This window comes from Homo sapiens, chromosome 17 (genome assembly GCF_000001405.40).
Source record: "Homo sapiens chromosome 17, GRCh38.p14 Primary Assembly".
In the NCBI taxonomy this organism is placed as follows: domain Eukaryota; kingdom Metazoa; phylum Chordata; class Mammalia; order Primates; family Hominidae; genus Homo; species Homo sapiens.
In genome coordinates, this window is record NC_000017.11 from 38,399,457 (window position 1) to 38,419,046 (window position 19,590).

At 51.2% G+C, this 19,590-nt stretch overlaps 1 protein-coding gene across 3 annotated transcripts in view, besides 7 other annotated features; it reads left to right on the forward strand.

The window, feature by feature from the left end:
• The window catches only part of SOCS7 (suppressor of cytokine signaling 7), a 53,750-nt gene extending 47,613 nt beyond the window's left edge, over positions 1 to 6,137 (forward strand). For all 3 annotated transcript variants that reach the window (NM_014598.4, XM_017024551.2, XM_017024552.2), the window contains one exon: positions 57 to 6,137. The gene's annotated coding sequence lies outside the window, so the exon portion shown is untranslated. The remainder of the gene's footprint in view (positions 1 to 56) is intronic.
• Positions 14,380 to 15,314: an enhancer, noted in NCBI's record as "NANOG-H3K27ac-H3K4me1 hESC enhancer chr17:36570079-36571013 (GRCh37/hg19 assembly coordinates)". NCBI's record gives its function as "activates a minimal SCP1, AML or CMV promoter by ChIP-STARR-seq in naive H9 embryonic stem cells {active_cell/tissue: H9 hESC(naive)}" and the evidence as "EXISTENCE:reporter gene assay evidence [ECO:0000049][PMID:30033119]".
• Positions 15,315 to 16,250: an enhancer, noted in NCBI's record as "NANOG-H3K27ac-H3K4me1 hESC enhancer chr17:36571014-36571949 (GRCh37/hg19 assembly coordinates)". NCBI's record gives its function as "activates a minimal SCP1, AML or CMV promoter by ChIP-STARR-seq in primed H9 embryonic stem cells {active_cell/tissue: H9 hESC(primed)}" and the evidence as "EXISTENCE:reporter gene assay evidence [ECO:0000049][PMID:30033119]".
• Positions 15,315 to 17,185: a biological region, named in NCBI's record as "NANOG-H3K27ac-H3K4me1 hESC enhancers GRCh37_chr17:36571014-36571949 and GRCh37_chr17:36571950-36572884".
• Positions 16,130 to 16,424: an enhancer, noted in NCBI's record as "tiled region #681; HepG2 Activating DNase unmatched - State 1:Tss, and K562 Activating non-DNase unmatched - State 5:Enh". NCBI's record gives its function as "activates a minimal TATA promoter and a strong SV40 promoter by Sharpr-MPRA in HepG2 cells, with weaker activation in K562 cells {active_cell/tissue: HepG2 | K562}" and the evidence as "EXISTENCE:reporter gene assay evidence [ECO:0000049][PMID:27701403]".
• Positions 16,251 to 17,185: an enhancer, noted in NCBI's record as "NANOG-H3K27ac-H3K4me1 hESC enhancer chr17:36571950-36572884 (GRCh37/hg19 assembly coordinates)". NCBI's record gives its function as "activates a minimal SCP1, AML or CMV promoter by ChIP-STARR-seq in primed H9 embryonic stem cells {active_cell/tissue: H9 hESC(primed)}" and the evidence as "EXISTENCE:reporter gene assay evidence [ECO:0000049][PMID:30033119]".
• Positions 18,474 to 19,023: an enhancer, noted in NCBI's record as "H3K4me1 hESC enhancer chr17:36574173-36574722 (GRCh37/hg19 assembly coordinates)". NCBI's record gives its function as "activates a minimal SCP1, AML or CMV promoter by ChIP-STARR-seq in naive H9 embryonic stem cells {active_cell/tissue: H9 hESC(naive)}" and the evidence as "EXISTENCE:reporter gene assay evidence [ECO:0000049][PMID:30033119]".
• Positions 19,024 to 19,573: an enhancer, noted in NCBI's record as "H3K4me1 hESC enhancer chr17:36574723-36575272 (GRCh37/hg19 assembly coordinates)". NCBI's record gives its function as "activates a minimal SCP1, AML or CMV promoter by ChIP-STARR-seq in naive H9 embryonic stem cells {active_cell/tissue: H9 hESC(naive)}" and the evidence as "EXISTENCE:reporter gene assay evidence [ECO:0000049][PMID:30033119]".

A 19,590-nucleotide genomic window follows, 5' to 3' on the forward strand; every position in this document is an offset into this window, starting at 1 on the left:
TCCATTTTGGTTCTATTCTGTTGAACTGTTTTAATTTTTTTTCCTTTTCTACCTAGGCATTTGGTTGCCAAGCTCCAGCTTTGAAGAACCAAATTAAGCTACCATGAAAAGAAGAGGAAAAGTGAGGGAACAGGAAGGTTGGGATTCTCTGTGCAGAGACTTTGGTTCCCCACGCAGCCCTGGGGCTTGGAAGAAGCACATGACCGTACTCTGCGTGGGGCTCCACCTCACACCCACCCCTGGGCATCTTAGGACTGGAGGGGCTCCTTGGAAAACTGGAAGAAGTCTCAACACTGTTTCTTTTTCAGAAGTTTTGTTTTTGATATTTATATTACTTGGTATGGAAAACTCACCTTGAAGGCAGTTGGGGTTTGTGCCCGTTGGATTGAAAGTGGTGCGAAGGGTGAGCAGGTCCAAAGAAGGGGTGGGAGGAGGGAACAGGGGACGGCCATTCAGCTGGTGCCAAAGGCAGAGTTAGAGTCTGTGCTGTGGGCCTGGAAGATGGGAGGAGGGGCTTGAGGTTTGCAAAGGACTGGGAGTTCCTGAGGAAGGGGGAATCTGCCTCTTGTTGCCATGGGCAGCTGTTGTAGGAGCAGGAGAGAAAGGAGGGTGGGTGGTCTCGAAAAGAATATTGGGCAAAACCTAGCCAATTGGCCTTAGCTGGGAGAAGTAGTGACTCCTGCATCCTTTTTTAAGGTTTAGGAACCTGAGTTCAGAAACACCTCTCATGGAAGCTGTACTAGTTGTGATTTACTTAATTCCTTAAGTTCCATGACCTGAAGTTAACCCCGTTCTTCCTCTGCTCTCAACCCATTGCCCCTTGAGATAACTGTACATGTCACTCTGATCATGGTAACAGCATCCCTATTGCTTCTGCCAGCTGTCATGGCAATCGTGTTTCCCATCACCTGGGCGGTTCAGAGCCAGTCATGGGCTGCTGAATTTAATGGAGCATGTTTCCAGGTTCTTCATGGCAAACTGTACTCATGACTTAGGAGTGAGTGTTACTTCCATGTGCCTGTCAGCTTGTGAGGGGGAATGTGGAGGAAGGTGAGAAATACAGCTCCCACAGTTGTGCTCTTCCTAGAGGAAGCTCTCAGAACGCAGCCCTCACGGGATTTCCTTAGGTCAGAGGAGAGCATCGCATCTCACGTTTTTAGGTTTATCACTGCCATCCCACTTCTGGGATGGGAGGTAGCAAGGGCTTCTGTATTTTCTTGTGTTCATTCTAGCAACCCAGACATTTCCGGATCAGATCCTGCTGGTCTCCACTCACTGGAAAGTCTGCCAGATGCCGATTTGAGAGCTGCCTGTCCCTGCTTTCAGGAGGAGCGGGGAGAAAAACTCCAATGGTCTTTAATGGTTTCTGCAGCTGGCCATGGCCAATTCATATGACATTGTGAGTTTGCTTTCTTATAGAGCTGCTCTGGGGAGAGGTTTGCTATTGAGATGTAACAGTGGAGCTGTTGGGTCTTCATGACTCCTTTGCGTGTGTTCCATGGGACTCTCTTTCTGGGTTCCCCATGCTTATAGTTGCCTCGTGTCACAAGACAGATACTAATGTCAGGTTTGTGGCTTCCTGATGGTTTGGGTGGGGCCCCAGTGTCCTGGTAATTTATAGGACTGCCTCATCTGGGAGCATTGCCTTCTTCCTTAGTCCCACGTGGAGTGACCAGTCTTCCTCCTTGTAGCTGAACAGGGAGGAAACTTGCACCATTACCTGACTGTGGAAGGGTGGCCCACAAGATGAGCTGTGCACCATAAACACAGCCCACCTCTGATTTGTCATGTGGTACCTCTTCTTTCCTTGGCTTCCATGGTAGTATTATCAACTAAGCAAGATTGTGATCCCAGAAATTGGCTTAGCATGTGAGTGTTGCCTCGTGAGAGTACAAGTAATATAACTCGCCATCTTGCAGGAAGTGCCACCCCAATATAGAGCCTGAAGTTGGAATCTGTTGAGATCCTTGGGTGGCTGATATACAGCCTGGGATCTTTCTTTTTTTTGTTCCTTTTCAACCACCCATAATTTTAATATTATTTTTTAGTGTGTGTGTGCCTGGCTTTGCGCTAGATATTGTAGAAAACAAAAAAGGTAAAAGACGTAATATGTGGCCTAAGGGAGCTTTTAGGTGACTGCTGCACATCAAGCAGAAAATCAAGGACTATCTAAAGACGTTTATAGTAGATAAGATCAGGGTAGACCAGATGGTCTGGGAAAGTTCTGTGCCTCTGAGGCTTTGGGTTGTAGTCAATGGCAGGACAGACAGTGAGATGAAAAACACATGAGCAAAAGCAAGGAAGCAGAAATCTGCATGGCATGTACTGAACAGTGCACAGCCCTGTTAGAGCAACATGGTTAAAGAATCCTTTCCAGTGCGGTTTTCTAGATGGAAGCTTCCCAGCCACCAGGCAGACCTGAGTGCCAAGGGGTTATGATGGTGAGGTGGAGCCCAAAGCCCAAAGGAGTCAGCAAGGCTCCTGCCCATTGCCAGGGCCTCACTATGGTCAGCTCAGGCCATGTGAGGGAGGCAGAGCCTCTGCACCCCCTGTGTTACTGGGGTTTCTTCTGGAGAACTCATACATTCAGGTACAAAACAAACCAACTGAGGAGGTGTGACCCAACCTCACCACCCACCTTTCTCCTCCTGGGGAGTGTCGTGTTGAACTGTGTCTGTGTCAGTGCACTGGTCCCAGCCCTGGCCGCAGCCTAGTCCTTTCTCTGTGGAGTGGGCTGCAAAACAGCAGCGCAAGAGGAGACAGTCTTCGTCAGGTGTGGGTGTTTGGTGCCTGCATGGGTGGCCTTGCACAGAGCAGTTAGGGGAAGATGAGGGGGAGGCATGGGGCTGGGCCAGCTCTCTGGGATACAGCCTGGTCAGAGAGTAAATGGAGCAGAGGAGCAGGTGTGGCAGCACCTGCCCTTCACCTCCCTGACCAGGCCCGTCCCTCCTTCGCCAGTGCTGTGCAGAGCTCATTTAAATGTATTCCTTTCTAGGTCTGGGCGCGGTGGCTCACGCCTGTAATCCCAGCACTTTGGGAGGCTGAGGTGGGTGGATCATGAGGTCGGGAGTTCAAGACCAGCTTGGCCAAACAGTGAAACCCTATCTCTACTAAAATACAAAAATTAGCTGGGCATGGTGGCATGCGCCTGTAGTCCCAGCTACTTGGGAGGCTGAGACAGGAGAATTGCTTGAACCCAGGAGGCGGAGGTTGCACTGAGCCGAGATTGCGCCACTGCCCTCTAGCCTAGACGACAGAGTGAGACTCCATCTCAAAAAAAATAAATAATTTCTTTCTGGTTGTATTTTCAAGTCACAAATTGGAAAAGGCTTACATCTAGGGACCCACTGTTGATTCCTAAGTTGTGGGTGGGTGATATCAGTGGCCTCAGTGCCTGCATAACCCTCACCTGTTTATGACTGATCTACTGTAACCTTCCTCAGGTTGAGAGTGAGCTGCTGTGAGCCAGTGACAACTACTGCTACAACTTGCTGTTACTTGAAATTCGTGTGCTATGTTGGTAGCACAGGAGTAGGCGGGCGGGGGTTTTGGTGTGGGCACTAGGTAAGTGGGTGGCAACCGGCTCTTTGGGACCATTGGTGCTGACCTTTGCCTGGTCACCTGCCTGTGCCTAGGCCAAGTGAATGTTACATCTTGGAACCTGAGCCATGGAGGTGGCGCCACCTCCCTGAGGAGAAAGGTGTGGCCAAAGGAAACTCCTGCATGGCTCCTGCTCCTTCCCCTTCCCTACATTTCACTTGGGCTAATGATGTAAGCCCCCCTTGAGGTTGGGGATGGTGTGGAGATAGCTGCAGACACCCCTGTAACAGACATCCAGGAAGAATTAGGGAGTGGGGGTAATTATAGTTCCTAGGTCTAGGGGTGAGAGGTGGGAGTAGAACCAGAAGTGCCCTGGAATCCAGCCGTGTCAGCCCTCACCCCAGGGCCCCCAGGAAAGCATGGCCTGCTTGAAGCCCTCTGCTCCCTGCAGAAACTGGGGCGAGGAGGAGCTTTTTCCTTCAGTTAGATCTTTCCCTTCCCTGCTGCCTCGCTCCCTTAGCTTTGGAGCCCTAAAGTTAGTGGACAAGACACTGGGATAAAGCTCTATGGCTGCTGGAAGGAGGTCTGAGTCTGTGTGTGTGCATATGCATGCATGTGTGTGTGTGTGTGTGTCCTCATTTGCAGAAGTCTTGCTACCAGTTAGGGTGTTAAGAGCATCTCCACTGGGCGGAGACCTGGCATTTGTTTTCCACTGTTAAGAGAATGACACACCCCCTGTCATGTAAGGGAGGAGCTATTGAGTTAGACATTTTCCCTATGGGAATCCTCGGTTTGGTTTGTGGGAAAGGAGGGAATGGATAAGTGATTTTTATCTCTAATCGTCAACACAGCTGTTCTTCCACTGAATTTGTGCTATTGCATACATGTAGCCATCTTTCTTTTCACTGCAGCAGTGTTTATCAGTAGTTCAAAATGATTTATTTGCTCCTGGGGAGTAAAACCTTTTTTATTAAAAAAAGAAAAAGAAAAAAAAAAGAAAGAAAAGTGTGCCCCCCTCCTATGCTGCGATAGCTATAAAATGATTGGGTCACAAAGGTCAAGTCTGCACGTCCCTGTGGTAGACCCTGCTTTCACATTGGAGCCTTCACACTCAGCACAAAATGATTGGAGGCCTTGATAAAATGGAGAGCAAAGTCTTGGGAGCAGTGAAATGGGGGTTGGATCATAGAGACAGGCGCTGGGGACTCGGGTACTGCAGTTAGGAAAGTAGCGTTATGAGTTGTACTGAAAATGTTGATTCTCTAATCTGCCAGAAAAGGACCTGTCTTTTCATGCAGATTTCATATTGTCTTTGTCCTTTTCATTGCTTCTTGACCTTCCTGGCAGGTGTCGCTCAGTTTCTTCCTGTTTCCCTTCCTGTCCTCTCCACACCTGCTATCCCGTCCCACTCCCATCTACCTCCCGGGAAGCCAGCCCTGCATGCTGAGTTTGTGACCTGCTTCATTCCCATTTCATTTCTAGAGGGTTTAGAGGTGACCTGGAACCGTTCCCTTTCCCTCTCCTACCCCCTCCTCTGCAACACCAAGAGGCCTGGAGGGGCAGACAGAAAGCAGCCAGCCACGGCGGGAAGACATGCATGTTTGGTTGCAGCTGGACTGCGATCGTAGTTCCTCCTGGAGATAGAGTGTGAGGAACTTAGGACACTCTTCCTCAGACTCTGGGATCATCACATACCACACTGCCCCGCTCAGAGTTTCGTCCTGAGCTCCCTAACCAGCTCAGGTGGAGCAGAAGCCTGCTCTCACTCCTCCATCTCTGGTGCTCCCTTGGGCGGGGACCTGTCCCTCACTCTTAGGCCCAGAACCTGTCCAAGGGACAGGTAGGGTCCAGGTGCCACTTTGGGTAGCTGGCTGTTGGAATGCCCACACTGGTGCTGCCTGTGGCATAGCCACTGCTGTACGTTTTTGGTTGTTTTTAAGAAACTCGATGAAGAGGGGTGTCATTCTGGGCTCGGGGTGGTTGCCAATTTTTCACCAGAAAGGGAGCCACCCCTTGCAACCACTTCTGTCTCCGTTAGCCCCCCCTCTGCCCTCCTCCAAGCCAAAGCGTGGCCTGGCTTTTGTCTTCCCATTTAGTTTTCCTCTTTTACCCTTCCTTTTGTGCTTAATTTATTAAAATAGTTGCTGTATAATTTATTTTCATAAACTATAAAAAAATACTAAATGGTTAAAATAGACTTGCAGGCCAATCTTAAATGGGGTGGGAGGGGTCTGAGGGTGGGATGGGGAAAGGGAAAGAGGTTTTGATATAAACAAAACAAATGCACTTTGGGTGTGTTTTGGTATTTTTCTGGGGATAGAGGGGGTGGGGTTAGGGATGTCCCTGTAGATTAGTTCCAGAATGGGGTGTCTGTATATACTGTATTAATAGGCATGTTTGACTCTCGTAAAGGGACGTTAGTAGCTGCTGCAGGTCCTGTTTGGAAACCCCATGTACAATTCCCAGTTTTTTGTAAGTGTCAGTGCGAGAGACATTTGACTCTTGTGTTTGTATCTCCTTTTTATGATTGCTGTACCTACCCATGTCTTTTTGGGGAGGGGTGAAAAGAGATTTGAAATAAAAATGTTTAGAAATTATTTCATGTTCTTTGGTTTGGTGTTTTTCACTCCCTCTCCCATCTCATGTGACTCCTGACATGCCCCAATAGGATCTGATGACCCAGCCCTGGGGAATGGGTGATCCCTGTGATGTCAGCCAAGCAGAGTGCACCCAGCACTAGGCTTGTCAGAATTAGAGGTGCTGAAAAATCCCTGAGGCTGATGGCCACTGCTCAGAGCTACCTTCTCCTTCCCTAGGAAGTGTAGGAGCATTCCCGAGAGCTTTCTGGGGCTGAGTGCCCGTGGCCTTTTTGTCTTGGTGAGCATTGGCGTGGGGCTCTACCTAAGGAGAGTTCATATTTACCATAGCAGTCATTCCTAGTATTCCCTGTGGCTGGCACCAAGGTTTTTCCTAAGTTCAACCCATAGCCCTCCTGCTGCCTTTCTAGCCTACTATTGCTTAAGCTGTGCTCTTCGGAGAGAAAGGGACTAAGTTGTTCCTCTGGTTGACAACGTGTGTATCGGCATATCCCGGGGATTTTGTGGGTTCCATTCCAGACAACCGCAATAAAGTGAACATCACAATAAAGCAAGTTGCACAAATTTTTTGGTTTCCCAGTGCATATAAAAGTTATGTTTACACTATGCTGTTGTAAGTGTGTAATCTTAAAAAATAATGTGCATAATTTAAAAATACTTTATTGCTAAAAAACACGATCATCTGGGCCTTCAGCAAATTGTAATCTTTTCACTTATGAAGCATCTTACCACGATGTTGATGGCTCCTGATGGGTTAGAGTGGCAGTTGCTGAAGGTTGGGGTGGCTGCGGCAATTTCTTGTTCTTTTTTTTTGAGACGGAGTCTTGCTCTGTCGCTCAGGCTGGAGTGCAGTGGTGCGATCTCGGCTCACTGCAAGCTCCGCCTCCCAGGTTCACGTCATTCTTCTGCCTCAGCCTCCCGAGTAGCTGGGACTACAGGCGCCCACCACCACGCCCAGCTAATTTTTTTGTATTTTTAGTAGAGACAGGGTTTCACTGTGTTAGCCAGGATGGTCTCAATCTCCTGACCTCGTGATCTGCCCGCCTCCGCCTCCAAAAGTGCTGGGATTACAGGCGTGAGCCACCGCGCCTGGCCTACTGTGGCAATTTCTTAAGATCACCAATAAGGTTTGCTGCATTGATTTGACTCTTATTTTCAAAAAAGATTTCTCTGTAGCATGTGATGCTGTTTGATAGCATTTCCACACAGTAGAACTCCTTTCGAAATTGGAGTCAGCCCTCTCAAATCCTGCTACTGCTTCATCAACTAGGTTCATGTAACATTCTCAGTCCTTTGTTGTCATTTCAACAAAGTTCACGGCATCTTCACCAGGAGTAGATTCTATCTTAAGAGACTACTTTCTTTGCTCATCCATAAGCAGTAACTCCAGACAGGTGTGATGGTACGCACCTGTAGCCCCAGCTACTCAGGAGGCCAAGGCAGGAGGATCCCTTGAGCCTAGGAGTTTAAGGCCAGCCTGGGCAGCAAAGCAAGACCCAGTCTTGTCCCTTAAAAAAAAGCAACTCCCATCTGTTTAAGTTTTATCATAAAATTGTAGCAATTCAGTCACATCTTCAAGGCTCCACTTCTAATTCTAGTTATGCTATTACCACCACATCTGCAGTTACTTCCTCCACTGAAGTCTTGAACCCCCTCATAGGGGAATTAACTTCTTCGTGGAATTAACTTCCATTTTCGTGGAATTAACTTCTTTCAAACTCCTGTTCATGTTGATACTGTGACCTCCTCCCATGAATCATGAATGATCTTTGTTTTTTGGAAATGGAGTCTCACTCTGTCACCCAGGCTGGAGTGCAATGGCATGATCTCGGCTCACTGCAACCTGCGCCTCCTGGGTTCAAGCGATTCTCCTGCCTCAGCCTCCCGAGTAGCTGGGATTTCAGGTGTGCATCACCATGCCTGGCTAATTTTTGTATTTTTAGTACAGACCTGGTTTCACCATGTTGGCCAGGCTGGTCTTGAACTCCTGATCTCAGGCGATCCACCCGCCTTAGCCTCGCAAAATGCTGGGATTACAATTGTGAGCCACCGTGCGTGACACGAATATTCTTAATGGCATCTAAAATGGCAAGTCCTTTCCAAAAGGTTTTTAATTTGCATTGCCCAGATCCATCAGAGGAATCACTATGGCAGCTACAGCCTTATGAATGTATTTCCCTTTTTTTTTTTTTTTTTTTTTTTTTTGGAGACAGAGTGAGACTCTGTCACCCAGGCTGGAGTGCAGTGGTGTGATCTCGGTTCATTGCAACCTCCGCCTCCCCGGTTCAAGCGATTCTGCTGCCTCAGCCTCCTGAGTAGCTGGGACTACAGGAGCCTGCCACCACGCCCGGATAATTTTTTGTATTTTTAGTAGAGACGGCGTTTCACCGTGTTAGCCAGGATGGTCTCCATCTCCTGACCTCGTGATCTGCCCGCCTTGGTCTCCCAAAGTGTTGGGATTACAGGCATGAGCCTCCGCGCCTGGCATGATTGTATTTCTTAAATAGTAAAACTTGAGGGCCAGGTGGAGTGTCTCACGCCTGTGATCCCAGCACTTTGGGAGGCCAAGGTGGGCGGGTCACCTGAGGTCAGGAGTTCAAGACCAGCCTGGGCAACATGGTGAAACCCCGTCTCTACTAAAAATGCAAAAATTATCTGGGTGTGGTGGCACACACCTGTAATCCCAGCTACTCAGGAGGCTGTTGCAGTGAGCCAGGATCACACCACCACTGCACTCCAGCCTAGGAAACAGAGCAAGACTCCGCCTCAAAAAAAAAAAAAAAAAAAAAAAGCTGGGGCTGGGCGCGGTGGCTCATGCCTGTAATCCCAGCATTTTGGGAGGCCGAGGTGGGTGGATCACCTGAGGTCAGGAGTTCAAGACCAGCCTGGGCAACATGATGAAACCCCATCTGTACTAAAAATACAAAAATAAGCCGGGTGTGGTGATGCATGCTGGTAATTCCAGCTACTTGGGAGGCTGAAGCATGAGAATCACTTGAACCCAGGAGGCGGAGGTTGCAGGGAGCCGAGATCACACCATTGCACTCCAGCCTGGGCAACAGAGAGAGAGAGACTCCATCTCCGAAAAATAAATAAGACTTGAAAGTCGAAATTACTCCTTGATCCATCAGCTGCAGAATGGATGTTGTGTTAGCAGTCACAAAAACAACACTCATCTCCTTGTGCAGCTCCATCAGAGCTCTTGGGTGACCAGTTGCATTGACTTCCCGCCTCAGCCGCCTGAGTAGGTGGGCTGCATGTGCCACTACGTCTGGCTAACTTAAAAACTTTTTTTTTAAATTTTGGTAGAGAAAGAGTCTCGCTATGATGCCCAGGCTGAAGGGCAGTGTCACGATCATAGCTCACTCCAGCCTTGAATTCCTGGCCTCAGGCAATTTTCCCTCCTTGGCCTCTCAAAGCACTGAGATTATAGGCATGAGCCACTGTGCCCAGCCTAGCATTCTTTTGGAAACAATGGGCCCCAAATAAAACCCCTTCCCACTGTCTTCACCTCCAAACCTGAAACTACCTGCTTCATCTCCTCATCACAAAGGCTGTTCCATCAAACCACTGCAATGGAGTCTTCTCACGCACATACTTACTTGAATTCAATGATAAGCACTTGGCAAGTAATAGTGCCGGAGATTCCTCATTCATTCCATTGTGTGCCCCCCCGATTGAAGGTGAGATGGGAACAGTAAGTTTTATGTCTCTTGGTTCCCTCCAGCCTCTCATAGTGTGAGCATCTCGCGTATAAGGATTCCAGTGCATATTTGTACTACGTGGATTCTGAAGACCAACTGTTTTCACTGGTGCTCAGCCAAAGGCACAAGAGTTGACTCCAGCTCAGGAGAGGCACTAGCTGATCCCTAATGGAGCCCCTCCGCAAGGGGTTTTTGAGAGGAATTTTGCAGCTTCCTCTGCTGCACACATCCCCATTGAAGCTATGATTTCACCATCCGTCTATTGCCATGTCCTCATTAGGCATTCTCCTTCGTGAACCTGGACAATTTCAACTGGTCTTCCTGCTTCTGTTTCTCCTCTCTAGTCCTTCAAAATGTCCTTCTGGCCGGGCGCGGTGGCTCACGCCTGTAATCCCAGCACTTTGGGAGGCCGAGGCAGGCGGATCACGAGGTCAGGAGGAGATCGAGACCATCCTGGCTAACACGGTGAAACCCCGCCTCTACTGAAAATACAAAAAATTAGCCGGGCGTGGTGGCGGGCACCTGTAATCCCAGCTATTTGGGAGGCTGAGGCAGGAGAATGGCGTGAACCCGGGAGGCGGAGCTTGCAGTGAGCAGAGATCGCGCCACTGCACTCCAGCCTGGGCGAAAGAGTGAGACTCTGTCTCAAAAAAAAAAAAAAATGTCCTTCTATAAGATCTCACTGTGTTGCCCAGGTTGGAGTACAGTGGCTCAATCTTGGCTCACTGCAGCCTTAACCTCCCAGATTCAAGCAATCCTCCCACCTCAGGCTTCTGAGTAGCTGGGACTAAGATACAAGCCAACATGCCTGGCTAATTAATCTTTTTGTAGAGACAAGTGTCTCACTATGTTGCCCAGGCTGGTCTGGAACTCCTGGGCTCAAGCATCCTCCACCTTGGCCTCTAAAGTGCTGAGATTTCAGGCATGAGCCACCATGCCCAATGGTGTCATTTCTTTAGTTTACAGTCTTTGATGTCTTTCAACCAAGAGAAATCCCCATTGAAATCTTGACCATCAACCTGCCTTCCAATGCTGTTTTTCCTTCCCTGACACGTAGGCTTCAGTCTGGTCACATGTGTGACCTGAAGCCTGTAATCATGGCATCCCTCCTGCCACTCTGCCTTCCCTCATGGTTCACCCTGTGCCTGGAGGACCCTTACCTGTCACCCTCTTTACCTGCTGAACTCATTCTTCAGGGCCCTGCCCCAGGGTCACTCTGTGGAATTGGAATTGTCACTAGCCACAAACAAATGGCTCTTTCCTCTCTTATGACATTTGTTCATCTATCTCTGCCTGCTTGTTCCGACTGTGACCTCTGCGAGGGACAGTGTCCTATTCATCTCTCTCCCCACTTCCAGGGCCTGGCACAGTTAAATGGCCGTGCCAAGGTGGTGGTAAGTTGAGGAGATGAGATCAGCCCCCTTCCCACGAATGTTGCTAATATTCCCTCCCCTCTAGTTAGCCAGTCCTTGAACCTGGATCTCCACCTTTCACACTGGACAACTGGATTGTTTAGAGGTGGGGATTTTTAGTCACCAAATGCCAGTCTTTTTCTTCTTCTTCTTTTTTTTTTTTTTTTTTTTTGAGATGGAGTCTCGCTTTATCACCCAGGCTGCAGTGCAGTGGCGCGATCTCAGTTTACTACAACCTCCGCCTCCCCGGTTCAAGTGATTCTCATGCCTCAGCCTCCAAAGTAGCTGGGATTACAGGCATGCGCCACCATACTCGGCTAATTTTTGTATTTTTTAGTAGAGACTGGGTTTTGTCATGTTGGCCAGGCTGGTCTCTAGCTCCTGGCCTCAAGTGATCCACCTGCCTCAGCCTCTCAGAGTGCTATGATTACAGGCATGAGCCACAGTGCCCGGCCCCAAATGTCAGTCTTCTGCAAAACTTTCTCAAGAGACTGAAATTTTCATGGTTGGAGTAGGAGTGTGAAAGGTGTGATACAAGGTGGATGCGGTGGCTCACGCCTGTAATTCCAGCACTTTGGGAGGCCTAGGTGGGTGGATCACCTGAGGTCAGGAGTTTGAGACCAGCCTGGTCAACATGGTGAAACCTCGTCTTTACTAAAAAATACAAAAAATTAGATGGGCATCGTGGCACATGCCTGTGTGTGGAGGATGAGGCAGGAGAGGATCACTTGAACCCGGGAGGCGGAGGTTGCAGTGAGCTGAGATCGTGACACTGCACTCCAGCCTGGGCAACAGAGTGAGACTCTGACCAAAAAGAAAAAGAAAAGTAAAAAGAGAGAGAGGAGAGAGAGAGGAAGGAAGGAAGGAAGGAAAGGGAGGGAGGGAGGGAGGGAAAGAAAGAGAAAGAAAGACAGAAGTATACAGCGGTAACCCAAGATGTTCCAGAGGTGGGATGTGGACTGCTTCCTCTTGACATCATAGAGGATGACAGAGCTGTCGCTGCTCTTGGATGGAAGACGCCACTGATCTAGGGTCAGCTGGCTTTGTCCAGTGGCCAGAGACTGCACTGAGCCACCTGCTACTCCCTGCTGAGTTATCACTTAACAGAAACCCTGCATTTAAAGAGAGCTCAACCCAGGCCCCCTTCTCACATCCTAGGCTTACATCCCAGGTTTCTCATCTCATCAGGGTCAGGGTGGGGGGTGGGTGTCAAGGCCTGGCTTCCTGGCCCCTGCACTGCTGAGAAACTTGATTTTATTTCTGGGCCCTTATTCTGCAGATCCAGGGATGATGGGAGAACGGGAGAGGCTAGCTGGATTTATACTGGGAGAGAAAAGTAAGAGGAAATGGTAATGGCTGAGCTTGGGGGACATTGAGAAGGTTTGGAAATGGGTAGGAAGGTCTTTGGCAACAGCTGTCCTGTGTGTGAGACCGATAAAGTCAAGATGTTTCACTATGCAGTGGGTGTCATCTCTTGGTGCCTCTTCTTCCCCATGCCCTGGTATTGAAAAACCTGATATATGGGTCCGGCGCAGTAGCCCACGCCTATAATCCCGGCACTTTAAGAGTCAGGAGTATGGGGAAGGCATGGTGGCTCATGCCTGTAATCCCAGCTCTTTGGGAGGCAGAGGCAGGTGGATCACCTGAGGTCAGGAGTTTGAGACCAGCCTGGCCAACATGGTGAAACCCCATCTCTACTAAAAATATAAAAATTAGCTGGGCGTGGTGGTGGGCACCTGTAATCCCAGCTAATCAGGAGGCTGAGGCAGAAGAATCACTTGAATCTGGGAGGCGGAGGTTGCAGTGAGCCGAGATCGTGCCACTGCACTCCAGCCTGGGTGACAGAGGGAGACTCGGTCTCAAAAAAAAAAAAAAAAATAGAGAGTCAGGAGCATTGCTTGAGCCCAGAAGCTCAAGACCAGACTAGGCAATATGGCAAGACCCCATCTCTTTTTTTTTTTTTTTTTTGAGATGGAGTCTCGCTCTGTCACCCAGGCTGGAGGGCAGTGGCGTGATGTCGGCTCACTGCAAGCTCCACCTCCCGGGTTCATGCCATTCTCCTGCCTCAGCCTCCCGAGTAGCTAGGACTACAGATGCCCACAACCACGCCTGGCTAATTTTTTGTATTTTTTTTTAGTACAGACGGGGTTTCACCATGTTGGCCAGGATGGTCTTGATCTCCTGACCTCGTGATCCACCCACCTCGGCCTCCCAAAGTGCTGGGATTACAGGCGTGAGCCACCGCGCCCGGCCGGCAAGACCCCATCTCTAAGAAAAAAAAATAAAAAATTAGCTGGGCATGGTGACATGTGCCTGTAGTCCCAACCAATTTAAGAGACTGAGGCAGGAGGATTGATTGAGCCCAGGTGATCAAGGCTGCAGGGAGCTGTGATTGAGCTACTGCACTCCAGCCTGGGTGACAGAGCAAAACTCTGTCTCAAAACAAAGAAAAACCTGTCTGGATACGGGGCAGATATGTCTTTGACTGGGATCCCATACGGCTCTGGACATGTTAAACGCCGACTGCATGTGGAGAGCGGGCTCTGTGTCTTGCTCATCTTCTGGGATGACCCCCATCCCCCAGCCGAGCACATGAAGGGATACCTGTGAATGTTTGCCAAAAACCATGGAGCAGGTCAGAGGCAGAGCCAGGCCAGGAGGGAGGTGGCAGTGGGGAAAGGTCTTCTAGGCTGGAATCACCTTTGGGCCTGGACCGGGGAGCTCCCATATTGGAATGGGAGTTTATGTGGGAACTGTTTTCAGCAAATGCTGGTGGGGGAGACCGCAGAATGCATTGTGGAGTCTGGCGGAGAGGCTTCGGGGATGGTGCCGTGGTTCTCAGCCAGGGCAGAGGCTTTGTGAGCTTGAATCACTTAGACAACATTTTCACATCTCACTCCCAAGACTAAGACACCCTCCTAGAATCTCAAGGGGTTGTGGGGGAGAGCGGTGGTGAGGATAGCAGATGAGACATCTCAGGGGCATCCACGGGCTCTTCGCTTCCTCCCATGCTCCTGCCTGCCTGTTAAGACTCCTGGGGAGGGCCTGGCCCAGGATTTGCTGACCCAAGTTTGAGTCCCGGCTCTACTGCCTGCTCGTTTTGTGATCTTGGGCACTTTATGCTTTTTTGGTCTGTTTCCTCCTGAGTTTTATTTCCTACCTCATGTGTGAGTAAATGAGACATGTGTGTAAAATGCCTGGTACATCTTGAGCACTTAATAAATATCCACAAAAGCCTGCGCGACATAGCAAGACCCTGTCTTCATAAACAGTAAAAAATTAGCTGGGCATGGTGGCGTGCGCCTGTAGTTTCAGCTACTCAGGAGGCTGAGGTGAGAGGATCGCTTGAGCCTGGAAGGTCCAGGCTACAGTGAATGGTGATGGTGCCATTGCACTCCAGCCTGGGCAACACAGCGAGACTCTGTCTCAAATGTGTGTCATCTCTCTCTCTCTCTCTCTCGGCACTGATTATGATCATTATTATTATTATTATTATTTTTGAGACAGGGTATCTCTCTGTCACCCCGGCTGGATTGCAGTGGCAAGATCTCAGCTCACTGCAACCTCTGCCTCCTGGGTTCAATTCTCCTGCCTCAGTCTCCTGAGTAGCTGGGATTATAGGCGTCTGCCACCACGCCTGGCTAATTTTTGTATTTTTCGTAGAGACTAGGTTTCACCATGTTGGCCAGGCTGGTCTCGAACTCCTGACCTCAGGTGATCCGTCTGCCTCAACCTTCCAAAGTGCTGGGATTACAGGCGTGAGCCACCGTTCCTGGCCCCATGATCATTATTATTAGCGGGCTTTTTTTTTTTTTTTTTTTTTTTTTTTGCTGGGAGAGGGAAAGAGTCTCGCCCATCACCCAGGCTGGAGTGCAACAGCGCTATTGTAGCTCACTACAACTTCAAACTTCTGGGCTCAAGCCATCCTCCCACCTCGGCCTCCCAAAGTGCTGGGATTACAGGCGTGAGCCACTGTGCCCGGCCCTGTTAGCAGTATTTTGAAAACTAGGATTGAGATTCTTTTTGCCAAAGGCAGAGGAAGAATGAAAAGCTCCTCTTACCGGAGGCCGCAGAGGAGCGGGCTGTAGGGAAAAAGAGAGGAGGGAGCTTCCAGGTGGGGAAGGGCCCGGAGGCTGCTGGTGGCCGCGGGCAGAGCTGGGTGAGTCATTGGGCTTCTCCTGCCACCTAGTGGCTCCTCAGGGCTAAGCCACCCTGCTGTTCCCTCAGGTCCCCTCGGTGGTGGTGGGGTGAGGCCGCACTTAAATATTCCTAAACACGGTGTCTCCAGTCCTCTTCTGTTAGCCCATTAAACGCCCTGCCCTTTCAGGGACCCTGGCCCATGAGGCATCCCTCACCTGGCCCTGGTGTGTGGGACACGACCCCCTCCTCCAGGTGGAGGGAGAGCGAGAAGCCTTTGTTCTCCTGGCTCCGGGGCAGAGTTGGGGGGCCGAGGCGGACACCTGGGGACGGTGGATGCCACGTTCATGCACCCCGCCCCCGCTTGCTTGATGGCTGCTCATGGGAGAGACTGGGGCCCGGGACCATGTCCGTGTCTGCTGCGGGTTCTAGTTAATTCTATAAATAGGCACTATTTTGTGCAGGGTCCGGGTTAGGGCTCTCCTGAACCTTCCCATCTCACCTTCTCGGAGGACTTTGCCTTTTTGTCTCCAGTATGGAGAGGGTGCGGACAGAGACCGGCCGCCCGAGGCCTGAGAGCCGGATGGGGCCTCTCCTCATGCCCCTCCCTCTGAGGAGGCTGCCTGGAGTGATGGCCTGGTTGCATCATGCCCTACTCCTGCCTATTAGGTGGCTGTGACTACTGGGGAGGGGTCTGGCCCTGGGTGAGGGGCTTCAGGAGGAGGCTGAGGGTCCTCATGAAGGGGCCACACGTTGGCTGTGAATCAAGGTCAGGCGTCCTGCCCTGCTGCCCACTGCCCTCCCCGCCCCTGACACCCACTTCTCTCTCGGGGCCCTGCAGCCTCAGCTGCACCAGGCCAGGATTGCATCATTCTTGGCTTTGTTCTCAGAGCAGCAGGTGCAGGAGTGGGGCCTGCCACCCGCCGCCCCCCTCCTTCCCTCTCATCTCCTTCCACTCCCTCCTGGGTAATCCCCCTCCTTCCTCCCTTCCTAGGCCCATGGCACCCCGGGAGTTGTCTGCCTTACCCGTGGCTCTTAGCTCCCTTTCTACCTTCTCCCTGTTCCCCAGGGAGCCCTGGAGGCTACCGAGGTGGAAGGAAGTAGACTGGGGGGCAGGGATGAGCACCAGGCTGGAAACCGCCATTCTTCACCTCTAGCCCCCAACTGGCTGAAAGCAGGTGCCACCCGCAAAGGGAACACCCGGTTGTAGCCAGGGTATAGCCTCCTAGAATTTGGGGACAAGGTCAGAAATCGTCACCTGCTGAACTAAAACTAATAATAATCAACATAAAATGAATTAATTCAGCCCTTTGTAGAAGGCACTTAACTTTTTTTTTTTTTTTTTTTTTTGTGAGATGGAGTCTCGCTCTGTCACCCAGGCTGGACTGCAGTGGCACAATCTCGGCTCACTGCAACCTCCGCCTCCCAGGTTCAAGAATTTCTCCTGCCTCAGCCTCCCTAGTAGCTGGGATTATAGGCATGTGCCATCACGCCCAGCTAATTTTTTGTAATTTTGGTGGAGACGGGGTTTCACCTTGTTGGCCAGGCTAGTCTCGAACTCCTGGCCTCAGGTGATCCGCTAGCCTCGGCCTCCCAAAGTGCTGGGATTACAGGCGTGAGCCACCACACCCTGCCGGTGCTTAACTTTTATTGATCACTTCTGTGCCCACCAGTAGACCGAGCATTTTAGACTCACATTCTCATGTCATCTTTCAACAGCTCTGTGAGGTGGTGCGGTTAGCATGTCTGGTTTACAGATAAGGGAGCTGCAGGGCAGAGAGGTCAGAACACTTGCCCAAGACTGCGCGAATATTAAATGGCAGGTCTGGGAGGTGAGTCCTGGTCTGCCTCCCTCTTGAAGCCTCTGGAAGAGATGGTTGGAAAATTCGATGCTGACCCACCCGGAACATTTTTTTTAAACCCCTAAAAGATTGTTTTTGGCCAAGACACTCATCAAGAGATAAGTATCTTATTTTAACTTTATCAAAGAGATAGAATAAATAACAAATATCCATGGAAGCCTGGGCTACATACTGAGACCCCGTCTCTAAAAAAATAAAAAATTAGCCAGGCATGGTGGCATGCACTTGTAGTCCCTGCTGCTCAGGCTGAGGTGGGAGGATCATTTGAGCCTGGGAGGTGGAGGCAGCAGTAAGTGGTGATTGCACCACTGCACTCCAGCCTGGGCTCATATCAAATGAGCCCTGCCCCTCTCCACACTGCTGTACCTCTGAGGCAACATTGTTGCTGAAGGTTCTGGTCCCTGTGGGATGTAGAAGAAGAGAAGCACTGGGGGATCCAGCCTGCCAGGGAGGAGGGAGGACTGGGGGACTGCACTTGTGGACCCTGCAGGCTGGCACAGAGACTGTGGGTGGTACTATCCCTTCCTTATTCAGGAACTCTGCTTGTGAATCTTCCTGCAGTGTTCAAGGTGTGTTGATAAGATAGCATTGGGTTTAGCAATCTAGCCACCATGACTTTGGCTAGTAGGAGTTTACTCCTGAGAGCCAGATTAGCATCTCTGAGGACAGACAGTCCCTGATCTTGCAAAGCCCAACACCAGACCCTAGGCCTGGCCAAGCAACAGCTATTTGAAGGCCCAGCATGGGTGGCTACCGCCGCCACCACCTTCTTGTTCTCACTTCCTCAGCACTGAAAGAGAACCTGAGGGAAACCAACTGGAGAGAATGGAGCCTGGCTTCCACAGCCAGGGCCCTGCTACACCACAGCCCGGGAGAGTGCGGCTCAGGGCGAGGGGCAGGCTTGCTGGCTGACACTCTTCTCTGTCTCCAGTCTCTTTAGCTCAAGACAGACTCCGTCTGAAGGGACAAAGGGCCCCATTGACCTCATAGCCTTGTGACCCCACCCAAGTCTGTCCCTCCCTCCCCAGGCAGCCAGCAGGGTCCTTGAGTAGCAGACAGGAGCCACAAGGCCGCTGGGAGGGCACTGGCGGGGAAGCCAAGAGAGGCGGCAGCCAGCTGGTCAGGGAAAACTGGGAGTGCGTGGGCAGTGCCCACCAGATTGCCACCAGGGGAGGCCAAGGATGAGGGCTCCGGGTACTCCTGGCTGTAGTCCCAGGAGCAAAGCAGCAAATACCCTGCAGGGCCACAGCATGGGAGGCTGGGGGAGTCCAACTTCAGCCCCAAAATGGGCTGCCCGGAGCTCAGGGCCTCCCTGGCCCACATTCCTGTCTCCCTGCCCCCAACATGCCCCCCACACCCAGCCTATAAAGCCCCCTTTGTCTGAGCCACTGAGGATCTTAACTCTCCCCATCTCAGCTTCCCACCCCCTCTCCCTCATCCTCTGGTGCCTAACAAAGAGGCCAGGGCTCAGTGAGAAGTGGTGAAGCCACCTTCATGCCAGCCTGGGCATTGGCCCAGGGGGTGTGGGCAGCCAGTGCCTGTAAACCAATGCCTCCACCCCACCGCCCACCTCGGGGCAGGTTAATTTCCACCCTTGTCCACTGGGGATTGCGTACCCCTGCCCAGGGCAGCGTGCCCACCTCTCACATGACCATTTATGTGATGCCCCTCTCAGTTTGTCCTGCCCTGTCAGATGCAGAACAGAGGGCAGTGGGTGGTCAGGAGCCACACCTGATGGAGGGTGTCAGAGAGCGAAGGTGTCTTTTTGCCATCTCCTTGGTCTTCACCAGAGTGGGCGGCCCCGCTGCCCACACATTATGTTCTCCAGTAGTATCTGGGGGTTCAGATCCCCCTTCTCTGGGAGTGGATAAACAGATCAGCCCCCTCCTCCTGCTTGGCAAGTGCCAGGAACATGGCTCACTGGGTGGGCAACAGGAATCCCCATCTCTTTTTCCCACACCCAGCCAAGGGCCTCAGAACACCTTCAACTATAGGCTGGACGTCGGCAACAGCTCCCTGTTCCCACAGCGATCTCGAGGTGGGGGTGGCACAGTGTCTCCCTGAGTCCCAGTGCTCTGGGTGTCTCTGGCCTGCTGTCAGTCACCCCCTGCAGCGGGTCGTCAGCTTGGGAGGCAGTTGGTCTGGGATCAACTGGGATCAGCTCTGTTGCCAAGGTGCGGTGAGACCGCTGGCAAGCCACTCTCTGGCCCCTGTAGCATGAGAGTAGGGTCCTTCCGACTCCGATGAGCCTCAGGAATGAGGAAAGCGGCTTCGCTTGCAGGGGTCTCCTCTCCCCTAGCAGCGCCCCCAGGACGGGCAGAACAGGGGGTGCCGGAGC